Raw genomic sequence first — 10,118 nt, forward strand, 5'->3', positions numbered from 1 at the left:
ATGAGGTAAAGAAGTGAGAATACATTATACAGCCTGATTTATGGATTGGAAGGATCTAGTGTAATTTTCACATTTACCTTGGGCTAGAGGAAATGACTAATATCGCAAAAGAAATGCAGGGATCAGAGGCAAGAGGAGGGGACTGGACACCTGGGACTATGAGCTGAAGAAAATAGGAAGAGAGATAGGCTCAGCCTGGGGAAGAGAATACTGGAAAAGGTTGAATTCGTTGAGTAAAACACATTAGCCTCAAGGTATCTAGAAGTTCATTGAGAGGTTGAGCTGCAGAAACAGTGTGATTTAATCAGGCTTAAGTCATCGGTAATAACCCTAAATAAATAAATAAACCCTAGCCAGTGCACAGAAAGCATTAAACACAATTATAGTCTGATGGCTCTCCTTTGGTCTCAGCAGGAGAACTGCATTCAGAAACACCAGGTTGATAATTCACTCCCTTTGCAAATATTTATTGCTTTGCCATAGCACCAAATCCTTTAAGACATGTTAATGAATAAATTTCTCAGTAATGCTAAGAGAAGTTTCAGTCAAAATCTCTAGTGTACCTTTGAGGACATTTATGTGTGTGTGTATGTGTGTGTGTGTGTGCGTGGTGTGTGTGTGTGTGTGTGTGTGTGTGTGTGTGTGTGTGCGGAGGGGGAGGGTAAGTGGCATCCAACATAAGCAAAGTGACTTCCAAAGCTGCCCTCAGTCCCAGAGTTCTATCTTGACAGGGGGACAAAGGGATGGTTTTAAGTGAGGATAGGCACCCTTACCCACTTGGTGCATACATGGACACCCAGGATGAGATGGTCAATACCTCAGCCAAGAGAAGCTCTGATTTCTTTGACTCCCTTGCTGGTTAATTCAACCCAACCCAAGTAATTATAGGCTGGGGTCTTTAATTTTTGACTTAAAAGGATGAAGGAAGGGGCCCTTTTAGTGTCTCCATATATTCACAGCCAATAACCCCCATAACCCTAGAAATGGTCTCTTGACTTAGCAGTTCACCAGATTCACTGGCACCTTGCAGGAGGTCACTGCCTTTGAGTCAGATGTTTTCCATAACTTGTCATGTACTTTAAAACTGTCAGACAAATGGTGGTGTGGAAATGTGTGAAGCTATATATTTATGATTTCACTCATCCAGTCTCCTCTGGAGAGTCAGCTGTGTAGCCCTATTAGGACTTTGGACTTTTTTGCTCCCATCTCTTAAACCTCTTAAGCCTCTGGAGTATGAGTATGATTAACCGTCTCCAGATGAAAATGAACATGATGACTGACAGCTATAGTATCATATAGCACCCAAGAACTTTCCAGAGGGCCCAGCCTCAGCCAAATCTATGTTGAGCACCTTCCAGTGGTACATTTTAGTCACTCCACTCTCTCGTTGGGCTGAATATGGAGTAATGGAAAAAGCGCAGCTGATGTGATGTCAGTCAGGATGGGGTCCCCAACACTTCCTAGTTGTGCACTCTAACCTCCCTTGGCTTCAGTTTCTTCTTTGCAAAGCAAGGGTGATAATAAGAATACCTATCTTGTGGGGTTGTTGTGGGGCACAAATCAGATGATGGATAAAAAGTGTTCAACCCATGGCCAGGTGCGACGGCTCATGCCTGTCATCCTGACACTTTGGGAGGCTGAGGCAGGTGGATCGCTTGAGATCAGAAGTTCAAGAGCAGCCTGGACAACATGGTGAAACCCCATCTCTACTAAAAATACAAAAATTAGCTGGGCGTGGTGGCACATGCCTATAATCCCAGCTACTAGGGAGGCTGAGGAAGGAGAATCGCTTGAACCTGGGAGGCAGAGGGTGCAGTGAGCTGAGATCGCACCACTGCACTCTACCCTGGGTGACGGAGAGAGTGAGATTCCGTCTTAAAATAAAATAAAATAAAATAAAATAAAATAAAATAAAATAAAATGCTGATCCCAGAGCCTGGAACATAGTAAGCACTTGATAAATTTCTGTTATTATTAAGCCCCTAATCTTACGGAATAGAAGCGAGAACAAGAAGGAAAGAGCAAAGAGGAAAAGAGGAAAAAATTGCTGAGAGAAAGAGACTAAAAAGAGGAATAGAAGCTGAAGAGGAAAAAAAAGAGAAAGTATCAAGGGCAACCATCTAGGAACTGAGCTGTGATTATGATATGACATGAGCACTGCTGGGGGCCTGTGATTCAAGGATAAGATTTCCTGCTGGTTGGAAGGAGGCTTCCAGTTGTGGCAAATGCCAAATGTAGGAGATTTATGCTAACACCCAGTAAAGCTGCTGCTGCCTCTGCAGAGGCCCGCTGAGAGCAGGATATTTATCGTCGTCAAGAGTGATGACTTAGGAGTCACACAGACCTGGATTCAAATCTCAACTAGGCACTTAAAAGCTGTGTGACCTCAGGGAAATCACTTAATGTCTCTGAGTCTCAGCTTTGCCTTCTCTAAAGCAAAGATAATGCACTAGGTGACACCTGAGTCCCTTCTAGGTCCTAGAGTCTATAGGGAGGAATCTTCTCTTTTCCTTCTCAAACAGGCTTCAGAAAACAAAGCTGTTAGGATAATTAAATGTTAAGAAAATAGCTGCCCACCTCCAAGGACTCTTCACTTCTGCTAGAAAGACATCAAATGCTCTTCTTTGCTAGACTAAGACTTCCTTGTCCTGATTTTGCCAGCATTTTCAATGTCTGCTGCCAGAGCTCAGTGCCTCCTGCACTTCCTGCTGCCTGGCACTTGGAGCTGGATGAGGTGTGTCGCACCTTTACACAGTTGGGTTCCCATCCTGCCACAGCTTCCAAGGGCTATTTCCTACCAGCTGGGGGCCTAGAGGGAAAGCTGGCTTCACAGCCAAGCAGGGTGCAAATTCGCTGGAACTAAAAACCTGCTTTAGGGTGAGGGGATAAGGAATGAAATCATGGAAGCACAGCTGAAAGGGCAGAAATGAAACAAGCTGTGGGCTGGAGATGATCTAATGTCTACCTCCCTTCTCTTTAAGAAGGCTGCATTTTCAAAAGCATTTTATATATATTTGTATCTTCTCAGTGCAAAAGCAAGCTTCTGCCTGGGTTTTCTCCTCTTCTCCAGGGCTTCCTGACTCAAGAAGGAATATATTAAATGACACTTTACTGTATTATATTAAAATATTAAATGACATTTGATTATCATATCTATTAGCAATGCATCCCTCCCAGGTATCTTAAAATTCTTGTGTTTGACAATGTACTTGCTTTAGTAGTTAGAGAATAAATTAGTGAGAAGGTGGATTCATCTCAATGAAACATATGAGCTATGGTAAAAGAACTGGATCATAGCCAGTGTGACTACACAGCTCGGATTTTCTAAGACTGTTCCAATTGTAAATATTCTGTCCCATGGTCTGTGTAATAACTCTTGAACTTGTCTCAATTTGGGTTCAGAAAAGCTGGCTAGTCATAAATGATATCCCCAAGGTTGATCTGGATACTTACATACAAGAAAATGGGGAAAGAATTGGACCAGATATAAAGGGAAAGAGAAAGATTCTAAAAAAAATAAATAAAATAAAAAAATAATAAAAAAAACAAAGACATGACAAAAGGAAAACCCACCAGTGGATTTTATTCATTGACCTCCTTGGGATACAGCTAATGAGGACCATATCCTACATGGCTTCACTAAGACCCTCGGTGTACCCAAGGACTGTGGGAAAACTGACATCAATAACCTTTGATCCAAAATGCTTCCCTTGATACTTTCTGTATCTAGCAGAAAACCGTAGACAAGAGGCACTAGACAAAGGAGTGTCACAAGGCCAGAGTGATTATTAACCAATTATTTTTAAATTTCATTTATTTTTAGGCTAAAAATGTAATAATGTGGCCATTTGAAAACACAGTGTGTTCTATGCTCTATTATTCCTTTAAGATGTAAAAAGAAAAAAATTAAAACAGATTTCTGCACGTCTCAAAACTCCTACCACTTTAGTTAGGTGAATGGAACCATCAAGATCACCCAGTCTAATACTTCCCAAGTCTAAGTGCTCATAAAAGTCATGTGAGGAGATTTGTAAAAACACAAACACTGGGGCCCTAGCCCTGGGGATTCTGATTCAATAGATCTTGGGTGTGGCCCAGGAATGTAATATTTTTCTAAAGCTCTGAAAGATTTTGAAAGGCAGCCGGGTTTGGAAACCACTGACCATTACAATCCCTTACTAACATAATCATTGTCATAATCATTATTATTATTATTTCCATTATTAGTATTTTCACATCATTAATAATAATAGTACCTGTAGCTATAATTTTACCTTGTCAATATGTTTCCATATCTATTATCTAAGTTTAACCTTACAACCACCCTAATGGATAGAGAAGGCAGGTGTTACTAGTCCCATTTTACAGTTAAAAATATTATTCACAAGAGATACACAAATGTGGTGGTCTACATATACATGAAATATCATCCTTCAACAAAAAGGAAAGAAGTGCCAATACATGGAACAACATAGATAAAATTTGAAAACATTATTCTAAGTCAAAGAAGCACAAAAGACCACATAGTATTTGATTCAATTTATATGAAGTGCGCAGAATAGGCAAATATGTGGAGACAGAAAGTAGATTAACCATTGTCTAGAGCTGAAGAGATTGGAGAAAATATGCAGTGACAACTAATTGGAATAGGGTTTCTTTCTGAGGAAATGAAAATGGTCCAAAATTATGTTATGATGATGGTTGCACCACTTGATAAATCTTCTAAAAATCATTGTACACTTGAATGGGTAAATTTCATGTTATGCAAATTATACCTTAATACAGTTGTTTGTTTTTTTAAAGAGTTATTTTAAAAATAATTAACATGAGTCACATTAATGATAAGAACAAACCTATGATCATGTAGCTAACCAGCTATAAACTAGGATAACTCAAACAATAATAACTACCTTTTATTAAGCACTACTGTGTGCCAGGCAGAGTAATATGCACTTTATATCTACTGTCTTATTTAATCCTCAAAGCCATTATTCCCACTTTACAGATGACAAAATGAGGCTTAGGGAATCTAGATGGTTTCCTCAAGGTCTTACAGGCTAGCACTGACAGATCCTGAATTTCAACCAAATCTGAGTCCAAAGACTTCTGTTTTCATTATAATCTGCTGCCTCTAAGACTAGAACCCAATGACCCTGATATTTCACACCGGGAAGTCTGTCCTCCATTCCCAGATGGGCAGTTCTAAAATATAAAATAGGAGAGAAAAAGACACATTGTCTTCATCCTCCTCATCCCAGTGCCCTTTCCCATTTGGCTCTGTGGCAGTGGGAAAATTGATCACATTTCTTAACACTATCCCAGACATAGCCCTGAATTTTCTTGACTGAATAGGCAGTACTAAGGACTAAATGGGTATTGAGGTCCACTGTGCCTTGTAGTTGTACATGACATGTGAACAAATGCAACTGAGCCCTATTCACACTTCACATAGTCCAGGAATTCACCAAGAAGTACTACTGCACCCAGGAGTGACAGATAAGAGGAGTTCAACCTAATATGACTCAAAGGTAATCAAGGGAATAGAAAGCTGCAGTCTTTTCAAAGTTACATTTATTGCCTACCTATGTTGAACAGAGATTATCACCAGCCCCTCGTGATACATCAATACGCACACACACACACACACACACACACACACACACACATATCTAGGGAGAAAAATCAACATGTAAAAAATGGATTTTGGGGAAATTTTGTGCATAACGCCTCTCTTATATCAGAGACAAGAATATTCTAATACTTGGTCTGAATACAATGTCACTTGGTTCAGTACTCTTTCCTAATGTCTATTGTGGTCTTTAGAATATCACAGTTCATGGAAATGAGGACATATTGGGTGATACAGGGTGCTTTGTCTGTGAAAGTTGTTACAGAGAAATCCCTGAAATTTGACTGAGATGTGGATTTTACAGTGACAAAAGACAGACACCCTAACAATTACTCTGTTGGACAGCTCCCTCGACCTAGCTTCAAACCCTTCAAAGTTGCCGTGACTCTCCTTTATTTTAAGACATGCTCCAGGATGGCCAGTCCTTTGATGGTCAGGAAGGGCCTAGGATTAACCACTGCCTGTCCATTGAACACATGATGAAATAATCTAAGCTTCCTGGGCATTGGTTTTCAAGGTCAGCTATGTAGAAAGATCTCGGCCAGGCACAGTGGCTCACACCTGTAATCCCAACACTTTGGGAGGCCAAGGCGGGTGGATCCTGAGGTCGGGAGTTCAAGGCCAGCCTGACTAACATGGAGAAACCCCACCTCTACTAAAAATACAAAATTAGCCAGGCATGGTGGCACATGCCTGTAATCTCAGCTACTTGGGAGGCTGAGGCAGGAGGCAGAGGTTGTGGTGAGCCAAGATCATGCCATTGCACTCCAGCCTGGGCAACAAGAGCGAAACTCTGTGAAAGAAAGAAAGGAAGAAAGAAAGAAAGAAAAGAGAAAGAAAGAAAGAAAGAAAGAAAGAAAGAAAGAAAGAAAGAAAGAAAGAAAGAAAGAAAGGAAGGAAGTCGAACTTGAACCTTGAGACTCAGATGCAGCAACAATATGGACACTGTCTTTTATAAGTAACTGGTCCCAATCACTTTGCCTGACAACTTGGGCAACAGCAGCTATTTGAGAGAACTAGTGTCTTGTACAAAGGAAACCCTCATTCTCCTTTGTCTAGGAACACAAGAAACTTAGAAGCAGTGAAGCAGAGGCAGGTTTTTCCCACATCAAATTCTTTAAGGTGCTATTTCTCCTTCCTTGTTAGTTATTTCATAATTTGGTTACTCTAGAGATCTGCCTGCTTTAAACTCACCTTTGCTCAGGGAATGAAAGGAGTGAGGAGAGAGGGCTGGATAATGGGGGAGGGGCTTGAGGAGGAACACATTAATTATCACCACTCCTTGAAGCTGTTCTTTAAAGCACTGTATTAGGTCAAATTGATCACATGTGTTATATCCACCAATTTTAAAATAGGGAAGCATCCTCAGTATAATTGATTTGATAATATAGAATGTTAAAAATGTGACCCAAGATCTATTTTCTAAATGACCACAAAGAAGACTCTATGGCTGGGTAAGTTCTGGTAAGAGGTAGGATTTTCCCTATTTTGAGGTGGGTACACAGGTTGTTGGGATTTTTGGCAATCTACTCAGAAAATTTAGTTGCCACACAAAAATCTATAGAGGTTATAAGGGGATTTAGGTATAGTGAGTCAAATCCTATTCTAATAGGAATGGTCTTTATTAAAATACCAGACATACCTACAGCTTTCTTTGGTATTTCTCCCAATGACCTCAGCCTTAGGGACACACCCTAAAGTAGGCTTTTTAGAAGCAACAGCTGAGCCGCGACCACTTACCTAAAAGAATAATCCTCTGTGAATATGTCCAGGAAATCCTGCTCTTAGGGTGCATATTTCCAATGAGTTGCAATTCACAAATAATTTCTCAGCAGTTCAAAGAAAATTTGGGCATAATATTTTCTCTGTTAACCCAACCAAATGTCCTTCCTCGTTATACCCTTAATGATTTCATGCTCTGCCTCAATAGTGCTACTCAGAGTTAATTATGAACAAAATCTAGAGTAAATGCTACAATTAAGATTTTCCTTTTTATACCCTGGCAGATAAGCACAATGCATGATCACCACCATTCACACTTCAACCTCAGCAGAGACTGAAGGGTGATTGCTAATGGTTCTGTTGATGTCTATAGCATTAGAAATTTGAGCATCAATCAACCCGGTGTTTTGAAAAATACATTGCCTAATTTTTTTTCAAAGCAACCGAAGAATGTAACCATAACCAATGATGCCACCTCCCACCAACGGCCACCACCCACTATTTAAATTACCTTCCTCCAGTTCATCCATGCTTCCGATCTTCCTGGATCCATCAATGGTGTAAATGTAACGCACTCCCTGAGGCAGGTTGATGTTGTCAGACAGAGATCGCGTCAGGTCAGCCAGCAAGGCGTCAAAGCTGCGAAAACGGTCAGAGGACACAGCGTACACAATCCCCTTGAAGTAGCGGTCCCCATTGCGGTAGAAACGTACCTTCTTGGCTTTCTTCTCATTACTCAGTGCCTGCAAGGTTCTGGTTCGGTAGAAGCTACAGTGGGCGCTGTGAGTGGGGCTAGGCAACCCATTCATCCGGGAGCCTCGCATGTTCCTGGATGTCTTATCTCTTTCGTCAAAGTGTCCAAAATCAAGTTCCATATTTTGGTGGAACCTCAGAGACCTGAGCGTGGGAGAAAGGGATGGGGGTGAAGAGAGGCAAAAACAAAAAGGGACAAGGAGAAGGAAAAAAGAAGGGATTTTAAATATTAGCCAGATCCAGATCTGCAATCTGCTGCTTGTGAAAAGAACTGGTTGAAAAAAGCCTGTGACCCATCTGCTGCTTGCCCCTGACCTGCAGGAATATTGATCTTAATAGAGAAGAAGGAGGGGCTGGGCGGGGGTGCTGGTGGTTGTGGGGGTTGGGAGTAAGAGATAGAGAGGGAGGCACTCTTGGCACTGTTCCAGACAGAGGAGAAGGGGAGATTTTGAAATAGCTGAAAATCCTGAGACTTACTGACAGTGGCTCCTATCAAATTGGAACTTCGGGCTAAATACATTAAAACTGGCATCTGTTTCCTCACACATGCCCACATGACTAACAGTTGTAAATGAATCCATAGCCTGACAAAATTCCCCTTGAAGAGAACAGAAGGAGCTACCCAAGGTTAGCATCTCCAGCTTAGGAAGCAGTCTTTGCATTTCAGTACAATGACTATGAAGGGGGAGTGTTTTCATTTTATTCCAAGCCCTCTTTCCTACTCTAATGTGTGCATCCCCTCCCCCCAGAATAAACTAAGATTCTCCTTTAAAGGGACAGCCTCCAGGGAACAGCCAGTGTCTTTGTGCTATTCATCAAACCCTTTCCCCACCAAGCTGGTGCAGCTATCCGACATTCATAAGAAATAAGCTGGGGGGAAAAAGGATTAGAAAAATAAGTTATTTAACAAGTTACTAGCTCTGTCTTCCCCCGGTTCCATTTGTTCACAAAATCCTTTTTTTTCCCCCCCAGGTGCTCCACCCCCTCCCCACTGATGCAGCAACACCTCTTAATGGAATAATTTAATTGTTGAAAGATTCACAAATGACTCTCCGAACAGCATACGGGACCTTTAGAAGGAAGCACACCTTTCATTGTTCTGGGTTTCTACCTTAATTGAAGTGACATTTACCCTCACAGCAGGCAATTCACCCCAAACTTGTATATTGCCCAGGTGCATTAGCTGAGAAAAGATGGTCATTTGTCAGGCTTTGCTTTTCTCCCTTCTGTTGAACCCCCTCCCCCACCAAGAACCCCAAACAATCAAAACATGAAACCCAATACAACTGAAGCCACAAATGCTAGCAAATGTAGTGACATCCTACGAGCCAAACTATTAACATGCATCTCACAGATGGGGATAAAAGGACTCACAAAGCAAGCAGGGCTCAGCTGCTACACACTGCCACATCAATATATTTGCAAGGGACCAGGAGGACAGGAGATAAGAAAGACTGGTGCCTAATGGGTCTGCCAGGCTCAATTCCGCCTTTTTTCCAATGTCACCATGACCTATGCTGAGCTCAGCATTGTCTCTGTCAGACAACCTGCAGTGGTAAGAGACCCCACCTCCTCAAGGCAAGCAGCAAACATTTCCCCAGGCATGCCAGTAAGGCTTTGCTTTGCTTTAGGATCAGAGGTAGTATTATTCTAAATTAACATCACAGTGAAAACAAAGGAACATCAAACTCACTTTTCCAAAGGAAAATCCCAGGTAGAAGCTTAGGGAAAAAATCGGATAGAATAAGGCAAAAAAGGAGAAGAGGAGACAGAGAGACAGAGAGAGCAGGCTTTGCCTTGTGCTTTTCCCGTTTGACATCTGTTACATTCTTCTTGAAAATCACTTAAAAGCCCCACTCACCGGTTTTCTGCTGGTTGGGTGGAGATGCTGAGAGAAAGAAAACCAATCTCTCTATGCCTTTGTTGTCTGAGCTCCAAGCAAGAAATTCCTGCCAGGGTGGATAGATGCCTTCTAGGTCCTAGTGCCTTGTCCAGCTTCTCCCATGTAACTCAG

General features: G+C 41.6%; 1 protein-coding gene across 11 annotated transcripts in view, besides 2 other annotated features; it reads right to left on the reverse strand.

Moving 5' to 3' along the window:
- DCX (doublecortin) overlaps positions 1-10,020 on the reverse strand; it is a 118,414-nt gene extending 108,394 nt beyond the window's left edge. For 6 of the 11 annotated variants that reach the window (NM_001369373.1, NM_178153.3, NM_001369372.1 and 3 more), the window contains exons 1-2: positions 9,966-10,020; positions 7,863-8,248 (exon numbers count right to left, since the gene is read on the reverse strand). In NM_001369373.1, coding sequence (NP_001356302.1) covers positions 7,863-8,226 — 364 coding nt within the window. In that variant the 5' untranslated portion in view covers positions 8,227-8,248; positions 9,966-10,020. Of the gene's footprint in view, positions 1-7,862; positions 8,249-8,581; positions 8,975-9,797 lie in introns of those variants that run through there. The other 5 variants (NM_001369374.1, NM_001369371.1, NM_001369370.1 and 2 more) reach the window with 3 other exon arrangements.
- Positions 9,054-9,586: an enhancer, noted in NCBI's record as "OCT4-NANOG hESC enhancer chrX:110654454-110654986 (GRCh37/hg19 assembly coordinates)". NCBI's record gives its function as "activates a minimal SCP1, AML or CMV promoter by ChIP-STARR-seq in naive and primed H9 embryonic stem cells {active_cell/tissue: H9 hESC(naive and primed)}" and the evidence as "EXISTENCE:reporter gene assay evidence [ECO:0000049][PMID:30033119]".
- Positions 9,587-10,118: an enhancer, noted in NCBI's record as "OCT4-NANOG hESC enhancer chrX:110654987-110655518 (GRCh37/hg19 assembly coordinates)". NCBI's record gives its function as "activates a minimal SCP1, AML or CMV promoter by ChIP-STARR-seq in naive and primed H9 embryonic stem cells {active_cell/tissue: H9 hESC(naive and primed)}" and the evidence as "EXISTENCE:reporter gene assay evidence [ECO:0000049][PMID:30033119]".

This window comes from Homo sapiens, chromosome X, assembly GCF_000001405.40.
Source record: "Homo sapiens chromosome X, GRCh38.p14 Primary Assembly".
NCBI lineage: Eukaryota > Metazoa > Chordata > Mammalia > Primates > Hominidae > Homo > Homo sapiens.